This window comes from Homo sapiens, chromosome 10, assembly GCF_000001405.40.
Source record: "Homo sapiens chromosome 10, GRCh38.p14 Primary Assembly".
Classification (NCBI taxonomy): Eukaryota; Metazoa; Chordata; class Mammalia; order Primates; family Hominidae; genus Homo; species Homo sapiens.
In genome coordinates, this window is record NC_000010.11 from 105,824,566 (window position 1) to 105,846,042 (window position 21,477).

The 21,477-nt window shown below is 37.1% G+C and overlaps 1 annotated feature.

Moving 5' to 3' along the window:
• Positions 20,519–21,071: an enhancer, noted in NCBI's record as "NANOG-H3K4me1 hESC enhancer chr10:107604842-107605394 (GRCh37/hg19 assembly coordinates)". NCBI's record gives its function as "activates a minimal SCP1, AML or CMV promoter by ChIP-STARR-seq in primed H9 embryonic stem cells {active_cell/tissue: H9 hESC(primed)}" and the evidence as "EXISTENCE:reporter gene assay evidence [ECO:0000049][PMID:30033119]".

The following is a 21,477-nucleotide window of genomic DNA, read 5'->3' on the forward strand; positions in this document are numbered from 1 at the left end:
GGATATATCCTAGACTTAACTCATGTTCAACTCAAACTTCCATACAGTTTTTCATAGCTAGTCTGTGCACTAAAACAATTGATTCTCAGAAAGATAATCTCAATAATTTATCATGTCCTAAACATCAAACAACTATTTACTCACATGTATTGAACTGTCCTTTTTAAAACAGGTAAAACAAAAAAGAAAACATTCACACAAAAACTTGTGCACAAATGTTCACAGCAGCATTATTCATAATAGCCAGAACAACCTAAATGTCCACCAACTGATGAATGGATACACTAAATGTGGTATATCTGTACAATGAAATATTACGCAGCTATATAAAGGAACTAAATTCTGACACATACTACAACGTGGGTGAAGACATTATGCTAAATGAAGAAGCTAGATACAAATAAGCACACATTGTATGTCCCTTGTAATAGGCAAATCCATAGAAACAAAACAGAAAGTGGATTAGTGATTGCCACATGCTGGGGAAAGGGAGGAAAGAAGAGTGACTGCTAACAGGTATGATATTTCTTTCTGGGGTGGTCAACATGTGCTCGAATTAGACAGTGGCATTGCTGTAGAACCTTGTAAACCTGCCTTGGGTTAAGAAGGAGGAGGGGCTAGTGTGAAGTGGGTGTGGCTATAAAGGGGCAACATGAAGGATATTTGTGGTGATGGAAATGCTGTGCCTTGACTGTATTACTCTTGATATTCTGGTTTTGATACTCTACGATAGTTTTGCAAAAGTTATTATTAGGGGAAACTGGGTAAAAGATACATAGGCTCCTTCTGTATTTTTATGATTACATATGAATCTGCAATTATTTCAAAATAAAAAATTTAACTTAAAAACACAGGTAAAATAACTCTGACTGTGGAAAACTATTTTTATCAAGTATTAAAACCAGATATTTAAATTTTATTTAAAATATTTTTGTTTAACTTGAAAATTCAGTTTACCAGACTCTCCTATTCCCAAGTCGTCTGACCAATTGATATATTCACATTTATACCAAATCTATAATATAATAATAGCTCTTATACTTTTGATCATAGTACAATGGCCAGAGCTTGCTGTAGGCTTGGCAAATTCCTAGAGGAAGGTCCTGAGTTCTTCGTTTCATTCTTCCTTTGGATTAAACACTATTAGCAAGAGGCCCTCATTCCCAGGTGCAGCAGATGCTACGTATTCACTTGGCCACCTCTGAACTCACTTATAGCTTCAGTGGACACATCCTAAACACCCTAACAGACTCTCACCACACAGGGTTGTATTTTTGTTTCCCTGCCTGACAAATTTCTCCAATGCCAGGAGAGCAGAACATCCTGAAAATACTGGTATATGACACACCCAGGACAACCTGATTAAAGTTGATAGAAAAATACTCAGCTTCCGCAACTTCTATGACAGGTAATTACGTAGAACATTTTACAAGGCAACTAACAGTTCCCAAGGCATCACTCACTTATTAGCACACCTTTTATTGGCTCCCTCTGTTTCCTGTCAGACTTTTCCCACTCCATTTACTTGAGTTTCCTGGGATCTACTCTCAAATTGTGCCTAAGTCTTTATCTCAGGGTATACTTGTGTAGAACCTAAGAAAACACCATATCCATGATGTATTAAAGCAAAGCTCCCTACTTCTGATGTTTTATAAGGCTGAACTCATGGTGTTAAGTGTTGAGTCAATCAACCACATCCCACTGTTAGTGAATAAGCCTCCATTTAGAACTATTAAGTGATACATGATAGACCTCATTCTAGAACTTCATTATGACCTGCAAATAAAATTGTGTTCCCTGTTTTTGAGGTTTCCAAGAACTAGAGGAGATTTTTAAATTTGCTGATGGTCAAGTGTGTTGACTTAGTGGGAATCCAAACTTTCGAATTATTATAGTACTTTTATAAAGTAATTTGTTAATATATTTAAAAAACAGTAACAACAATCATAGCCTTTGGCCCATTAATTCCACTTGTGGGAATTTACTTATGGGAAATTTATATCACCAAAGGTATACACACTACAGGCATAAAACGATGTATTATTTCAAGATTGCTTACAATAACACATTTCAAAAGCTTGATAATAATCTAAATGTCCAACAGTTAGATTTTTCTGCCTTAACTAGTTGCATAATCAGGCAGCTAGAGGAGGTGGCACTAACATTCATGGTTTTTCTATGACTGTAAATAAAAAAATAAGGAAAGTTGTATTTGTGTTATGTTTATTATATAAATATAATATTTGTATATGGACAAGACCTAGAACAGAACTACCTAAGGTCACCTCTAATCTGTCCAAATAGTTGTAGCATCAAAATCATATATGAGAAGCAAAGAATGCTTTTGAAGGTATACTATTTTTTAAATACAACTCTTTTCTTTAATGCCTGAGGACTTGTCCACAAATCTGTCCCTAGTATTAAGTATAGTGGAGGAACAAATACTCTGTCAGCCTGACTTTCTTCTTGGGAAAGGAACACACTACTCAGCTTTTTTCTGAGTATGTTTCTTTGGCAATAACTTAAAGACTAAGAAAAAGTGAAATAATTATAAAAATTATTAGACATTTGCTTTATTTCTCCCTCTCAATAAGAACAGAAGGAATTGATAAGAATATCATTACTATACTATTAACTTGAGAATCCTAGATTCAGAATGTTAGGACTGAAAGGCACACAGAAAAAGAGGAACTGATTCTGAAGAACTAAAGTGACTTGTTAAGTTAATTGGTGGTGAAGCCAGAATCATCTGTAGTTTTCTGATCATTAGTGTAGAGCTTAGCCAATTTCCTTAAGTGTAAGTGGAGTAATAACCCTTGCCCTGCTGCAACCCTTTGGCTTCTGTAGGAATCAAATAAAAGGAGGTTTATGAAGGGGCTCTGTACATTGCAAACCCAGTCCACGATAAAGCAATGTAGACTTTATTTATTTTAATGGAAATGGGGTCTTTCTCTATTGCCCTGGCTGGAGTGCAGCAGTATGATCCTAGCTCACTGCAGCCTGGAACTCCTGAGCTAAAGTGATCCTCCTGCTTCAACCTCTCTAGTAGGTGTATACCACCATTTTTTTTTAGAGATATGATTCTGATATTTTGCTCAGTCTGGTCTCAAACTCCTTGCTCAAGCAATCCTCCTACCTCAGTTTCCAAAGTACCTGGAATTACAAGCATGAGCTACCACGTTCAGCTCCCAATGTAGAATATTTTTTTAAGTCACAAAGAATGATAGATGCTTGAGCTGATTGATGCTCCATTTACCTTGATATGATTATTACACATCATATGCCTGTATCAAAATATCTCATGGACCCCAAATATATATACGCCTATTATGTATCCATAAAAATAAAAAATATAAAAAGTCAAGTAATAATAGTTGTTGCCTGATTGATAATCTGCATAGGTCAAGGGTATAAACTCTTGCTGAGAGGATCATTATCTCCTGTTACAGGAGATGCAGCCTGTTGGCTGGTCCCATGATTGATTCTGAGGAATGGGCACCTTAGCCAGAATAGTGGCGGATCAGCTAGATGCGCTGATGCATGGTTGTCTTTCTTCAGGCACGACAGGGCCCATTCTTTGTTCCTTTACCACCTGGGAGTGATTCAGACAGGAAAAAGGTAGAGCTGCCAACTTGAATTCTATCTTCTCCTACCCTCATTTTTTCAGCTGTGCTGCACACACTGTCTCCCTTGATACTTAACTCTGTTCTCTTCAACTAGGTCCTATTTCCTGGACACAGCCAGGGGCAGTTCAGGACCAGCTTTTAGAAGAATCCATGCTGAGCTTCTCTAATCCTCTACAGGCTCTTCAGGAGCAAGAAGCCTGCTAAAAGCTGCTTGGGATGTGAATAAAACAAGTCTCTGCACATAACAGATGGCCAATCAGATCTTTAATCAATCTATTGGCTAAGAAGGGATAGAACTCTACAAAGTTAACATAAGATTCAAATTGCGAATTAGTACTTTAAACACAGAAGACACTATTATTCTTATGTACCATATGTTATGAAACACACACACATATATATGTATATATATTCAGTATTGGAATAAACACAATACGAAATGGTTCAAGATCTGGATTCTATTCTTGGCTCAGCCACTAACTTGCTCTGTAACTATGGACAAATCACTTCAACTCCCTAGGCCCCTTTATAAAACAAAGAAATCCTAGATGATTCCTAACAACTTTCACTCCTGAAGATCTATTGCTATTTAAGAACAAGATTAAAAATAATGAGGAAAGCATCTACATATATCTCTCTATACACACACACACACACACACACATATACATATATAGGCATCTATATCAAAGGGATGGTTCAACAATAAACCAAATGTTTGCAAGACATATCACTCAAAACTAAATCACTCCTAGTGTATATGTCAACACAGGTTTTACTAAATACAGTTTGAATTAGGCTGCAGTAAAGTGAAGAGCGCAATGAATAGTATATTTCTGTCAACTTTTTGCTTAAGAAGTACTCTTTCTGTTTCCTTTTTTTCTGCCTTTCCCTCCTTTCTCTAGTTTAGTATATATTTTAAGAACAGTTAGCCAGATTGAGTTCAAAGCGAAGGTCTGCTACTATCTAGTTGTATGAATTTAGACAATTATTTAACTGTTCTGTGTCTCATTAAAAACAATTATAATGGTAGTACTTATCTTAAAAGGTAGTTATAAGGATTTAATGGCATTATTTGTAAAACCTTTGAACATGGGAAGAACTTGTATGTGTTAAATCTTCCGATGTAATTAATAGAGAGTATATTAATATCTATTTACTCTTTACAGGTGGGTGATGAAATCTGGAGGAAAAGATAAAAAAATTGATATGGACTGTGTTAAGTGTCTATAGGATATACACTATCAATGTTGGGCAGGCAGTTCAAATTTTCAAATCCAGTCTAGAGGGAGATCTATGCTGGAGGTTTCTATTTGACAGGCTACCTATATAGATTTTACATCTAGAAATGACTGAGATTAGCCATGAACAAAAATTGTGTGTGGGAAAAGGGAAGAGGTCAAAAAACAGTACATTCTTTTCTTCTGACACCTACTCCTTTTTATTCAGTTTTATTGAGCTATAATTGTTAAATAAAAGTTGTGTATATTTAAGGCATACAATGCAGTCTTTGGATAAGTAGACCTTGTGTCATGATTCCCACTATCAAGCTGTCACATACCCACCACCTCACATAAGTTACCTTTGTGTGTGTGTGTGTGTGTGTGTGTGTGTGTGTGTGTGTATGTGTGTATTAGGCCATTCTTACATTGTTACAAAGAAATAATGAGGCTTGGTAATTTTTAAGAAAAAGGGTTTCATTGGCTCATGGTTTTGCAGGCTGCACAGGAAGCACAGTGCCAGCATCTGCTTTTGAGGAGGCCTCAGGAAGCCTCCAATCACAGTGGAAAGTGAAGGGGGAGCAGGCTTCTCACATGGTGGGAGCAAGAGCAAGAGAGAGAGAGCGAAGTACCACACAGTTATAAACAGCCAGATCTCGAGAGAAGTCACTGAGGACAACACCAAGAGGATGGTGCTAAACTGTTGGTGAGAAATCCACACTCCAGGTCCATGATACAGTCACCTCTCACAGGCCCCTCCTCGAATACTGGGGATTGCAATTCAACATGAGATTTGGGCAGGGACAAATATACAAACTATGTCAGCGCGTACGTGTGTGTATGTGTATATGTATGTGTGTATGTATGGTGAGGACACTTAAAATTCACTTAGCAAATTTTCTGTGTACAGTATGTTATTGTTAGCTATAGTTATCATTACTGTGCATTAGATCTTCTAGGATTTATTCATCTTATAGCTGAAATTTTATACTCCTTTGACCAATATCTTCCCACTTCCCCCACCCCATAGCCTCAGTCAGCCACCATTTTACTTCCAGTTTTCTAAGTTTGACTTTTTTAGATTTCACACAGAAGTGATAAAATGCTATTTTTGTCTTTCTGTTGATACGAACTCTTAAGGAGCAGCTTAAGGTAAAGGAGCCAGTGGAAGATACTGACAGAGACAGGCAAAAGCACTAGAAAAAGAGAAGAGAATTGTCCCATAAAAGCCAAAGTGTAACGTTTCAAAAAGGAGGCACTTGAGTCAAGTTACATAGACTTGAAACCAGATAAAGGCTGAGAAAAAGTCACTGCATCTGACAATGCCAAGATTATTGCTAACCTTTGAGAGAGCAGCCTTGGAGAGATGTTGATGCAAAATTTCATTTGGTTAAGGAATAAATGGGAAGTGAAAAATATGAGGCAGGGAATGTAGATAACTGTTTCAATATGTTGTCAGGTAAATGGAGCTCATAGCCTGATAGAGCTGAGAACAGGAACACAGTAATCCTCCTTGGTATATATCAAGGGAGTCTATGAATTTTTAGGTTATAACTAAATATTTGCACATTTCATCTTGTGGTAGTCTGAAATCCATGATGTGGAATAAAGGTTTCATTGGAAAATAGTTTAAGACTATTGTGATAATGTACAGAACTTCAGGGGATTAATGCTAAAATAACTACTTAGTAAATATCAGAAAGGCTATACTTTTAGCTTGTTGCTATGGGACCAAGCCTGTGTGATACCCAACAACCATGAGTTAAGTGGCAAAACTTAGTTAATCAGCTCGTCGTTTTGTCTGCATGGTGCCAAATATCTGCTTTGACTGATTTTCTCACTAAATTGACTCAATCAAACATTTGTGGTGTCATCGTTTAGAGAAGACCCTAGGTGTTTAAAGAGAGCATTGCTTACCTAAATTGTACTACATGACTGGAATTTACTCATCCATAAAGGCAGTAAGTATGTGTGTGTGTGTGTGTGTATATGCACACACGCAAACACACACGCACATATACAATCTTCCTACTGCATTTAGCTATCCAGAGGACATTTTTTAAGTTTTAAATTTTTTCTTGATATTTAGCGTTCTCAGGGGGATAATTTTGTGTATTGTGTTATTGCCTAGCACTATTAAGTCAGAAGAAACTGAGTCAAGTTAATACTCATAAAGTTCCTTCTATTTAAAATGGCAGAAAGTGAGGGGAAGGAAGAAAGAAGGAAAAGTGCTAAGGACTTGAGATATTAATAGTGTAAAAAATAAAGACAGACAGGAAAGCTGGAGTTAGGGGAGCATTGCTTTTGCCAATCAGAAGGAAGCTAAGGGCAAGTTAGGAAATCCTTGCTGATGGATTCAGTTCTTATCTTGGATATCTATTCCAAATAACAAGGCAAGACATTTTGAAAGATTTCTGGGGTCACAGCTAAAATTTTCAAATCAGGATTAGTTTAAATCTCTAGATCTCTGACTCACGACCTCCTAAACAGAATGTAACATTTTCTATCAGAAGAAGGAAGGCAAGTTAATCTAGGGGAATGTTTTAAGCAGCTCCCAGGAAGAAACATTTTTATCCTTTCTATTTAAATAGGAAGAAGGGCTAAATTTATCTGTAAAAGACCATTGAATTGTCCAATAAATGTCACTGTGACTGCTTTCAAATAAAATAGCATATGCTGAATAGGAAAAGGCCAAAGAACGCAGTATGAATACCATTATTATAAATGACTGATTCAATTGATGTCACCATTTTAGATTATTTCACCATGGAAGAACCGTAATGATTTTGAATATTTGTTATTGCAAATATTTTTTATGGAAAATTACTCCTTCTGAAAATAGATTTTGAAAAATATATGTAATGTTAATGCCTGACATGGTGATGTCACAGGACAATTCATTTAATTAAGAAAGCCCGTGAATGGAGGCATACTCCTGGCTCACAGAAGCATGAGAAGGTACAAATATGAATTGGCCCTAGTTTGTTCTGTTTCAGAAACAGCGACTTTAGATACACACGTCTTAAAAGGGAAGTTCCTTCATTTTGTGTTTACTCCATAGAGCAAAAAAAAAAAAAAAAAAAAAAAACAAAAAAAACCACAGTAACTCCATTAATAGAATTGTAAAGATGACCAAGTTAGACATAATTATTCTCTCTTGCTTTCTATGTTCACATATTCCTTATTGTTTTCTCAACTAGGTGTTTATATTGAGTTCTGGTTTTTAAAAATTTTATTCTCAACCAGCAGTCAATAAAGGTGTAGGCTGGACGGGTGCAGTGGCTCAAGCCAGTAATCCCAGCACCTTGGGAGGCCAAGGCAGGCGGATCACAAGGTCAAGAGATCGAGACCATCCTGGCCAACATGGTGAAACCTCATCTCTACTAAAAATACAAAAATTAGCTGGGTGTGGTGGCACGCGCCTGTAGCCCTAGCTACTCAGGAGGCTGAGGCAGGAGAATTGCTTGAACTCAGGAGACGGAGACGGAGGTTGCAGTGAACAGAGATCACACCACTGCACTCCAGCCTGGGCGACAGAGCAAGACTCCACCAAAAAAAAAAAGGTTACGATCTAGTCCCTCCAGGGTATACGCATTTACAACAATCCATCAACAAATCCTCACTGTGTATATCTTATATGTGTGGCACAGTGGAGTTACAGAAGACCTAGGTCTTGCTCAGAGTGTAGTATCTTCATTGAGTAGATAAAATATGGTACAAAGAGTAATAAAATAAAAATCATACCTGATTAAGTACTATTGATAAAATCACTGTCTTACATCATATCATTCCAAACAATTTAGTAATACCGTAGTATATAGCCTGCTAGTTAAGATGACAGAATCTGGAGCCAGCCTACTTGGGTTCAAATCCTAGTTCTGCTATGTACTAACTGCATGACCTTAGTCAAGATCTTTAAACTATATGTGCTTCAGATTCCATATATTTAACATGTGGACAATTATAGTGCCTGACAGAGCTGTGATAATTAAATTCATATTATATATTAAAATACTCGGCATATACTTACATAGTGTTTACTATGTTCTAAGTGTTATTCTAAGCTTTGGTGTTAGTATAAGTAGACGGTGGCATAGCCAGGTACCATAGTTTGTACAGGAAACACATAACAATTGTCCTTTTACATGCTAAACACATTACTGGCTTTGAAATAGAGAAGATATAATATAGGCTATTTATTTGGTTCAATAATAAGTACCGAGTACTTACCTTAATGATTGTTCAAGATACTGTTATGTGTAGTAATTATTACAAAGTCATTGCCATCATAGAGCTTATAATCTTGTTGAGAAGCAGATAAAGAGATATGTGGTTGGATGATGTCAAATGATAATGTCTGCTCTGATGGTAAAGGTATAGTGAATGGAGCAGGTGCCATTTTAAGTAGCACTGTCAGGAAATAACTCTGAGGAGTTTGTCTATGAGCTAAGTCCTGGGTTTAGTGAAGGAGAAAGGCTATGTTACTATCTGGGGGATAAACAATCCTGTCAAAGGAATGGTAAGTGCAAAGTTCCTGAGACTGGAATGTACTTGGTATTTTCAAGGACGAATGAGGAGGTCAGTTGGTTTGATGTGGAATAAACAGAGTGAGGGAAATGAGTATAACGAGAAGGTCAGGGGCCAGATCCCATAGAAGCTGGTGGACAAGTGTTTCAGTCTCAATGTGTAGGCAAGTTATTGGAGGATTATGGGCCATGACACGGAATGATCTCATCTACATTTTAGAAGTATTCGAGAGGTACATGTGTGGCTTACAGTCCAGGGTAGGCATCAGACCGACAGTAGAAGCAAAATGACAGGGACTTCTTGCAGTTCAGATGAAAACTGGGACTTGGGAGGATGAACGGTGGAGGTAAGAGCTGTGTGGGATTTGAGATATATAATATAGAAATGAGAGAATTTTCTGACAGTATCTAAAAGAGTGAGAATATTGTTTCCATAGGGCTAAGCTTGAATTTGACCTAAATTGTGAAAATATAAATTATTCACAAGTGACTTACTAGTAATGGATTACTTGTGACACTTCACTGCCACCCCCGCCACCTTAGTATGATTCCACAGCAGGGTCTGAGTCCCATAGCTGCAGGTTGTGACTGGAGTGTTCTGGGAAGGAAATATGGAGCAGCTGAGGTCTGAGCCAAGCCTTTAATGAGTGGGTCAGAAAAAAGAGGATAAAGCCATCCCATTAATGGCCAGATGTGGAACATGCCACTCTCTCCAGACCCTAACACTGATCCTATGAAACAGAATGAAAGACAGTGAGCTGACATTTGGGAGAAAGAAGTGTGGGTCACTTTTCTGTCTAATTAACTGCTACACACATTCCTTTACTCACTAAACTCTCCAGAAAAGTATGCAAGAGGAGATATCTTGATAAGAAAAGAGAAGAATTTGAGCGCACTTTCCAGCAGTATGTGTCATTCCTCCCATCTGTGGGAGTTGTGGGGTGGGTGATGAGCTCTGCTAAGCAAGTCTCTCCAACATTCTTTTCAGGTTTAGTAGATAAACGTGAACAAAAAGAACTCATCACATCTAATTAACTTTATGGGGTTGTTTGATAGGGCTACATCTGCTTCTTTATGTGGTGACACTAAATGTATTCTCTTCTTCACTGGAGTCCAGATGGCTACACAGCAAAGGATAGAAACCACATAAAAAGCTTGATGCCAGTGTCCGAGAGATGGTCAAAAAGTCCCTGACCCTCAACTGCAAGGCAGTGGGTTTCATTTAGCTCAGTGACACCAGTAGAAGGGGACATGGATTAGTGGGTATAGGCAGGAGGACAGCAGGAGGGTGACTGCACATTGGGCTCCCTCTCCCTGAACAGGTTCTCCAGCCTATGCCCTCACCTGTATTTTTCCTATTTGTATGCCCTTTTCCACCCTCTCCACCTGCTGAAATTTTAGTTGTTCTTCAAAGCTGTATCAATTGGGAATATAAACTGTGTTTCATTTCCCACAAAAAGTTAAAAAAAATCAACAGGTAGGACAAAATATATATGGACTTAGATAATTAAAATACACAGGCAAGACCAGAGGTGGAGGTTCAGCTTTGAGTATAGCTGAGTTCAATGCTTAAATGATATCAATAGTAATGTGAGAACAGCTTAGTTATAGAAACACAGCCATACCATAGAAAGGCATTTATCCTGTGGAAGAGAAAAGAAGCTTTCCTGTTGGGTCAAAGACAGAACTAGGTTGATTGACTTGTTATGGATTACGTTTTCACCACTGAACCAAACATTGTGGCCAGGGCCATGGACTCTGTTGACTGGCCCAGATCTTGCTGGGTGCTCAAGTATCACTAGATAGAATTAGTAGCACCAAATCACAAGCGCCAAGAGTGGGTTCTAGAGCGGGAATTCCTCACATGAAAGGGAGATCATAAGAATCTGTTGTAGCAGATGGGATAAGTGGTTGCTATATGAAAAAAATAAAAATCCACCACCAAACTACAAATGCCTACTGAGGAGACCTTGTTTATATTTTCTTTGGTTTAGGAACTATTTTCTGACATCCCAGCCAGAAGTGAAAACTTTTTCTCCAAACTCTGCTAAGCAGTTTTGTTTGCCTTGTTGTATTTATTTGTGTGTGTGCCTTCCTTCTCCTTTTATAATCCTTGATAAAAGGGACTGTGCTTGCACCTGAATTGAACATAAAATATAGCACAGCATGTTGCATACAGAAAGTGTGTCATTAAGAAGGGGTGTTACACCGCATGTTCTCACTCATAGGTGGGAATTGAACAATGAGAACACTTGGACACAGGGAGGGGAACATCACACACCAGGGCCTGTCGTGGGGTGAGGGGTCGGGGGAGGGATAGCATTAGGAGAAATACCTAATGTAAACGACGAGTTGATGGGTGCAGCAAACCAACATGGCACATGTATACCTATGTAACAGAACTGCACGTTGTGCATATGTACCCTAGAACTTAAAGTATAATAAAAAAATAAAGAAAGGGTGTTACAGTGTGTATAGATGAATTTTGGATTTAAAGAATAGGTTAGTATCATTTCTAGAACAATTAAATAGGTGTCAATAATTAGGAAATCATGGAAATCAATAATGGACAGTCTTGTGGGATTTCTCATAACAACATCAGAGATTATTTACTCTTCTCATTTAGTTTTATAGATCCTTACTTACCCACATTTATTTCATTTTTCGAAAAATATTAACCAATATTTGTCGAGTGCCTTTTACTTACAGGAAGTGAACGAGGCAATTTTGGTATGTAATCTCACTTCTCATAACAAACCTAGTATTGCTATATCTATTTTATAGATTGTGAATCTGAAGTCTAGAGAGGTGAAGAGAGGTTTAGAGGTTAACTGCAGAACCAGGAATAGAAATTGGATTTGAATTCAGATCTGTTGGATTAAAAAACATGAATGCTTTCACCATACCATAAATATCTCAGGTTTATGTTTTAATATTTACATTTCCTGGATTTCATCATGTAGAAGTGATCTGATGCTTTTTCTCTGACACCTATTGAAAGGTGAGGACATTTCTTTTTTTTTTTTTTTTTACCATTTTCTTGTTTTTTAAGATCCTAATACTAAGTGATAATATTTTTTGCTCTTTCTTTTCTTCCTTTCTCCCCCTTCCTCCTTTCTTTCTGTCTTTTTTGTTATTATTTTTGAAGAACCAGTTGTGGAGCCTTTAACATTTAGAGAGATAGAATGGTGTTTGGGTTCCCAGTTTGGCTTCTGGGTGTAGGCAGACTTAGGCTCAATCACTGCTTTCATGACTAACATTACTATGATCTTGAACAAGATAGTAAAACCTGGTTTCCTTTTTCTTAAAATGGCTAATAACAATAGTACTTACGTTATAGGGTTGCTATGAGAAATACATGCTATATTTTCTTAAAGGAATTAGCTCTGAGCCTGGCACATAGTAAATACAGAATAAAATATTTGCTCTTATTTGCCACTATTTAACTCAGGAAGTAAATTTGATCTCCCATACTTTATGATCTTAGAATTGTTTGTAAAAGTTGCATATCTATTTCTAGGACTAAAAAGTGGTATTTTTGGAAATTACTAAGATATATCAGTCAAATAAAGGTTAATAAGAATTATTTATGTACATAGAGGATTAAATGTATAAACCAATAATGAAAGAACCCTGTGGCAGCAAGCTCTCAAGGGAATCAGGAGCTCATATAAATGGACTAAAAAACCTCATATAAATCAGTTTCTAATAAGGTCAAGTCCATCTTATGAGCAAGAGAATAGGTCCAATATCCTATAGCAAACTGAAATGTGCAAAACAAAAATTAGCCAATGAAACTGTTGAAAATATTTTGCTTTTTATTTTTTTTTTCTCACTCGAAAAATGTGAGAAAGATCGGAGGCATAAGATTCAAACAGGTCATTGTTATTTTTAACTGTAACAGTCCCTCCACTCTGTGAAAGAATGCTTTTCACAGGATCTTTGGTTGGATCAGATCATTGGCTTGGAAGGTAAAGGATGAAATCGTAAATCTTGAGTTCTAGGTAGCAGTAGGACCTGCCATTTGAAATGACCGATAGATAACACAAAAGAAAGGGAGATAGCGGATGGATCATATCTAACATCTGCAGAGTTAATGATAGTTCCTTCTTTCTGCAACCTGCTCTAACATTGCCCTCTCTCCAATGTCCTGTGGTTGCTAAGCAACCTCTCATAGATGTAGTGGAGTGAGCAAGATCTGTCAAATTCATTAGTTTTGCCTTAAAGAGGCAGTGTCTGTAATGAAAGTGAAAGTGCTATACTTTGTCTCTGTTTACACTAGTGTAGACTAGCAAAAAAAACTTTCTCTTTCTCTTAACCCCACCCCTTTCTGAAAGTCTTTCAGATGCAGAAAAGACTTGAGGTTAAAAACTGTTTCTTATACAGGGGAGGAAGCAAAGTAAAGAAAAATGATCAAGTTGAAAATGTGCACTTATTTTAACATTTTCCATTTTCAGTTGCTCTGGAAGCAAGTTACAAAATCTTGTACAATCTTGAAATTCAGCAAAAGAAGAGCAGTAGGGAAATTAATGGTAGTTTTGTCCAAAGGAACATATACTTTAAGGGAAGAAGAAATCATAGCTTTTCCTATCCATTTATTACATGTTTCTGGGAATAGCTGGTATTTTCCGTATGTGTGAAATATGAACCTGAGACAAAATTACAGTCAGGAAGTAAAGGCAGGACAGTTAAGACTGAGGTGGCTATTACACACACAGCCTCTATTTCTGCATTTTAACTTTCTTCTAAATATTACATTAGGACTGGAATTTCTTACGTTTGATTTCTTCTAGTTGAACTATTATTTTTTTTCTGGAGACTAGAATAGCCTGTATTTCTTTCTTCAATGAAAATCTGATGAATCTCTTTAAAATAAAGGCTTGATCTCTTCACATGAAATAGCTACACAGGATAAGATGGTGGTAGCATTCATTTTGGAAGCATGCAAATATGAAATTATGGCTTAATTGCAATTTATTTGTTGGGTGATATGGGATGAATCATTTAAACCTTGCTAATTCTTGGTTTTCTGATCTATAAAATGAGAACACTAAAAATACTGTCTCCTGAAGTTGTTGCAAAGATTAAATTACATAATCCATGTACAGTGCATATACAAGTGAATTATACAAAATAAATGTCAAATAAATATACTCGTTATTATTTTTGGGTTTGGTTTTCCCAGTAATTTTGCATTTTTTAAATGTTTTATTGTGGTTATGTGTTCAACAATACTAAGTATACTAATAAAATTAAAAAGTCAAAAGTGAATATCTTCATTCAAACCTCAGAATTATCCTAACCCCACCCCTGTAGGACAGAAACATTTACATCTTTTAGTAGCCATAAAAGTTAATATTTTTAAAAAATACTTTTTTTTCCGTTCCATTGAATGTCAGAGTTTCTCGCCGAACAGAAACTAGCATTTTGTGCTGCTTGTAAGTCCATCCAGGTGGGGTTGGTAAGGGATGATGACTCCATGCTTTCTCTCTCTGCCCCAACTTTAGACCAATAGAGTCTTGCATTCAAGCAATAATGCCAAGGAAAAAAAATAGACTGGCAAAGTTAATCCAGAAGATTTCTAAAACAAGAGGAAGAATTCCAAGTTTCTAGGAACTTACTGGATTTTCATTATAACTGGATCAGGTTGAAAGTCCAGAGGGTTTTGTAATACTTCCACTTTTATAAATAAGAATTGAATATTTTATGTCCACTGTCATGGCTCTGTACTCACATTGTCTGAGTGATTTTCATACTTTCATTTTCTCTGTAGCCACACGTTACTCATCAGCATGTTTAAGAAAAGCAACTGTATGGCAATTTATTGATAATAACTTTTAGAATGGAAGAATTTAGAACTAAAATCAAATTTAAAGTATATTTTTATATGCACATATTTTAAATGTGGTATAAATAATTCTTAGTAAGAAGATACCTAAATTAGGAAAGTGAATGGGGATTTGAGTGATTCATTGATAGACTTCATCACTGACCTTACTATGTTTTTCTCTTTCTAGTTCCTCAGCAAATAAATAAGACCAATAACATACTACCCTGTGTGGCTTTCAAGAAAACTGTTATTAATAAATAAGAACATCTCTAACTCCTCTGGAGAAAGAGCATCAGGAAGAGGATTTCTGGGGAAATTTCCAGTGATCCAGCTGGATTTGAGATGAGGATTATTTCTATGATTTCTCCATGTGGGTGGCAATATTTTATAGTGGTTAGGGCTGTGTGCTTTGAATCAGTGAGACCCAGATTTAGATCTGGATTCTGCCATGCACATCCTTAATCTCTCTCTCTCTACATCTTGGTTTTCACTATAAATGGAGAGGGCTGATAGAGTTGTAATGCCTCCGTGCCTAGCACAGTGACAGGAACATATGTGAGCTGTTACAGCCATCATCACTATCTGCATCAGCATTATCCTGTCTTCATTTAGATCTGTACACTCAAGCCGGTTGTCACTGCTTTATAAATGAACAAATCATCAAAAACTGCTCCTAAGCCCAGGATGTCTCGTCTATAAGTAACCCTACACTTCCGGTTTCTAGAGGAGGCACATAACTTCTACCAGGAGATGGAATCTCATACATTTCTGTGGCTTAAGTTAGGAAGAAAACTGACTAGCAGTTAGGCAAGAATGAGCAGTAACGCTGATAAACAGTAGGACTTGTGGATGCTATTAACTTTGCTTGCGATTTTCTGGTTCAGGAATGAACATGGCAAAGAAGCTCTGAAAGATAAGCCAGAAGAGACAGGTCTGATTCTTTTGTGAGCATTCATTTCCTCACTTACAAAACTAGGCAATCATTGAGGGCTTTTTTCATGTCATTCATAATACAGGCATTTTATATTAAATAAATCAAAAGATCACTTGCAGTTCTAACATTAAATGCCTTGGGGTTATGGGTTTTCTCCTTCCTTTCTCTCTCAACTTGAACTAGTTATAAGAAATCAATAAATGTCATGTCAAAGTGTTGAAAATTATTATTCAGTTTCTGTCAAGCGAATTATGCTATTCCATGAAATACAATGGTGCTGCTGGGATCATGCTTGTAGGAATTATCTGAAACTTTGCCATTAAAGGCCTCTTGCATTAAAAAGCGAAAAGAATCTAACGTAAGGATGTATAATGTAAGTACTGAACATCTCATCAGGGTCTTCTTTCAGTTACAATGTGTAAGTTACACTCAAGGCACTAATTTCCTGTTTGTTTGTAAGGAAGGCAATCACAGCCATTAAAATTTCTGCTCTACAAGTGATTTTCCCTCTTTTACCAATCTATGTTCCTTTTCCGTCAGGTTACATCTTCCAGAACTAATTCCCAATTAGCAAAGTCTTTTATAGGGTTTAATGACTTTTCAGGAACTCTCCCCAGAAACATATTTTAGTTCAAATTAATGCAACTATACATCTGTAACATAATTTCCCAGATAAAATTTATTTCATTCAACCAGCACGTACTTTGTGACTACTATGTGCCTAAATGAGTGCCTTTTCTAAAAAGAAATCCTAAACTAGACCACTTGGATCTTTGCTAGAATCAGTACGCACACATTGGTAAGTTAAAACTATCACAGGTATTATCATGAGTTGTCCTTAGAGAAATAGTAGTTGGGTGTCTGGGAAGCAAAGATTCTTTCCAAACCTAGAGACAGATTTGCTTTTAGTCTAGTTGGTAACATGCGGCCATTTTCTAATGCAGAGCTGCAAACTTTTTTCTGCGGAAAAAATTCTATCCAAAAAGGAAAAAATCCCCCCACCCCTATTTCTCTTCATCTGTCTGTTTCTGTCTGTTTCTGTCTATTCCTCTTTTGCATATATATATATATATATATATATATATATATATGCATGAATGCATGTGTGTGTGTATATATATGTGTGTGTATATATATGTGTGTGTGTGTGTGTGTGTATATATATATATATATGCATGGTCCCTTACTCTCTCCAATATTATGTGCTGAACACATCAGGCTGTAAGGCTGTGTAGCTTTTATGTGTTTCTACCATAATTATGCAGCTTTAACCTTTACACATGAATAAGTTGCTGTGTGGGTGGCAGGATGAACAGTTAAAGAGCACTGCTGTTGCAGAACAAGAATGTGGGAAATAGAACAGCACAATGACTTAAAAACTTTATGCTCTCTTAAATGTCTTTCTGTTGTGGTTACATTAGAGCAAGATCGGAAAAAATATTATCATTATGCTTGTTTATCCACAATTGCATTTCTTCCATCCTTAAAGAAATTTTAAAATCTTGTCCACGAAGATTTGTGTAGTGGAGTATCTCCTCTTTTCAGAATCAGTTGTTTGCAAAATACCCAAACAAAGCTTACATTCATCTTTCCGACCAATGATACTTTTATCCTGTCTCAATTAAGAGAAATAAGGAAGCTATTCCTTAGTGTTTACTACACAGAGGTGTTAAATCCTTGTTGCATCTCTTGTAGAGTCCCTGGAATCCATGCGAAATACTAATAATTATAATATCTGTGACAATAACAAAAGTGACCCAATCCCTTCTAAGATGTTTATTTGTGTGTGTGTGTGTGTGTGTGTGTGTGTGTGTGCCTGTGTGTGTGTGTGGTAGAGGAGGATTGGATAGGATTAGAGGGACACTAGTTAACAAAAAACATACATCACGTTTCTTTCCATGTCTTTGCCATTAAATGTTACTTACATTCTGAACTGTTGCTGCCAAGTGACAGCTAAAAGCTTGTCCTGAAAATACAACCCTTGTTTTTTATTTCCCTTATGCCACTATGTTACTATAAGCACTTACACAGAGTCCATGGACCTGGCAATGTACAACAGAATCTGAATAGAATTTAGATAATCAATATGTCCCTTTTATTTTAGAACTTTCATTGAAGGCCATACTGTTCCACCACAGGTGACAGGGAAAGTCAAAAGGAAGAGAAAGGGTTAAGGCCCAGGCTGTGAAAGATGCAGGCAATGGCATAAGAGTAACAACAAGCAAAGCCACAAATCAAGTTAACTAAACTGTTCTTTATCTGAAACGTGCTTTATCAGAGGCACCCATGAGTTAAACTGCTGAATGAACTTAGATGTCATAAATATACTTACGAATTTCAAACACATGTTCATTTACTAACAATTCCTAATGACCACTAGTGGCTATAACCTAGAAAGAAGCTTTCACAAGCAAAACTCACATAATAGCTTTGTCAGTGGGGACAAAAACTGAAGCATCATTTATCCTTCATCATAAACATAAACCAGGAGTCAGTCTTTCCTCTTGATGGTTTCTGGCTAAAATCTAAGTTAATTTTTGGCTCATCAATTTCAATATAAATTGTATAAATGGGATGATATTTAGTTATGCTAAAATAATATGAATCTACTCTCAATTTTACTAAGTAATAGTATATGAAATGTTAATCATTGTTGATGTTAAGGATGGGTGTTAATTTAGGAGTATGTAGGATAAATAGAAGACATAACCTTAAGTAGAAATGATTTAAATTTCTATTTGTGTTTCAATTACTATATCGGTGCTTTACAATGTTTGTTCTTTCCATTTTGGACAGCAGCTAGTAATCTCTGGCTAATTTTTATGATAACCACTCCCACTGATAGCAACCTGAGTTTGTGGTTTAGTGAGACTATGTGTATTAAATGAAGCTGAAGCTGTCTCTCAGAGATCCTAGAGTGTCTGGGTTAATTGGAATGTTAGTTATATATGCAGTCACAACATATCGGTCTCTTTTTTTTTTTTTTTTTTTGCAATAAGAACTAAGGCTTTGCAGCGAGCTTATTAAATTATTCCAGCACTCAAAGCCATTGTTTAAGAAACAAAAGCAAGTAAGTTTTTAGTTTATGCCTCTTGAGGCATGTAGAATGAGAACAAAAGGTTGTCCTCAATCTAGACTTGGCAAACTCTGGAGATGCACAGCTAATATTTTTCAGGCTGGAATTTGAATTTTAAAACATCTTTTGGATCAAGAAAGAAGCAATTGCCATCCTAATCAATAAATACCAAGGGGATTTCCGCTTCTGAAATAAGCAGTTCTGAATTTATGGTTTTACTTTCATGTGGTCTAGAGCTTCCTTGTGAATGGTACAATGAAGAAACAATGATGTGAAATCAACACTAATTGATGAAACTGTGGGAAAAGCGAGGGGAAACGACAACTAAGAGACATGATTTAAAGTCCTGGTGCTGTGTCTTTAATAACAACATAATCTATTAACTATCTGTAAGGTCTAAGGTCCCTTTAAGCTCTGAAATTCTGTGAATCGCTAAGTGAAGTTTGATTTTCACTGAATCATAAACGGTACTGAGAGCCCACAGGCATGTTGATGGCACCAGGCACCTGCCAATGGCTCAGGAAGGGAGGAATAGGACCAGGTGGCAAACTACTCCGCACGTTTGCCAAGAACACATCCCTGCCTCTAAATGCAGTTAGCCTTAGCCTACATTAATTAAGAGCCTGCCCCCTTGCTGTTTCTGCTCTCTTAGCCTGATGGCTGATTCCCCATTTTTCCATTTTAGAATTGTGTGAAAGGGAATTTGTTTTGTTTTGCAAAAGGGCTTACTTGGCAAATAACCTCCCCCTCCTCTCCCTTCTCACAGGCACCATAATAAGCACCACCAAAAGAGGCTAATTTTGCCAGACTTGGATTCCATCAGCCAGCGCTTCCCAAAGATTGCCATGTTATTGCAAAATTAGACTTTTTATTACTGGAATAAATACTGTGCAGTCTTTGTAGCCACCACTTAATAGATTCCTTTGCTAATCCCACTGAATAACAAGGATTCCTTGTGAAAATAAAAGGCAGACAAGGTAGAGTAAACCAGCAATTACATATAATGTGCTGCTGTTAGCCTGCCAAAGCGGTTCATAAACCCTGCAGGGAAAGACTGGGGCATTTTTCAGGGCTTTCACCCCAATTGCCTTGCTGAACGCCTCCCTCTTGGTGAGCTGTTTACATGGAGGTGAATAGATTCTGCAGCTGTCTCTTTCTGTGGCCTGGTAGGAACGCTTTATTACCTTCTTTCCCTTGTTTCTTTCCCTGGGAGAACTCATTTTCTATCCTAATACCTTATTTATTTATGCGCCAAAGCTCTGAGAAGGCCTTCAATACAAAAGAATACTGTTATCAGAGAAGCGCAATACACTATGTTGATTCACAGCATGGGCATCAGATGTAGAGGAACACATGTCTAAGTGCCCTCTCTCCCGCATTTGAGCTGGATGACTTTAAGGGAAATTGTCTAAGTTCCTTTATCCTTAATTTTCACATCTTTAAGATGAACGTAATGCAGGAATACTCAAACTTCAGAATGTGTCAGAATCACCTGGAGAGTTTGGATCAGTGTACCAGGAAATCGCAGAGTCACACGCCAGGGCTTCTGATTCAGAAATTCTGAGTTGATGACTGCAAATTTGCATTTGTAAAACATTACCACATGTTTCTGATTGTGCTGGTCTGGGTGGGGGCCACACTGTGGTCTACTATAGCATAGTGATATTGTGAGGATTAGATAAGACAATGTATTAAAAATCTTTAGCTCACTTTGGGAGGCCGAGGCCAGTGGATCGCTTGAGCTCAGGAGTTGGAGACCGGCCTGGGCAACATGGCAAAACCCTGTCTCTACTAAAAATACAAAAATTACCTGGGCGTGGTGGTGTGCACCCATAATCCCAGCTATTTGAGAGGCTGAGATGGGTAGATCCCTTGAGCCTGGGAGGTGGAGGTTGCAGTGAGCTGAGATCCTGCCATTGCACTCCAGCCTGGGTGACAGAGCAAGACCCTGCCTCAAAAAAAAAAAAAAAAAAAAATCTTTAGTTCATATGGTGCTGCCATTTAGCTGTCAATCAATATAATATATGTCTGTGTAAATACACCACCTTTTTTCTTGTTTTTTGTTTTTTTTTTTAATTTTTAAGTTCAAGGGTACAGGTTCAGGTTTGTTAGATAGGTAAACTGGTGTCATGGGGGTTTGTTGTATAGATTATTTCAACACCCAGGTATTTAGCCTGGTAACCATTAGTTATTTTTCCTGATCTACTCCCTCCTCCCACTCTCCACCTTCTGATAGGCCCCAGTGTGTGTTGTTTTCCTCCATGT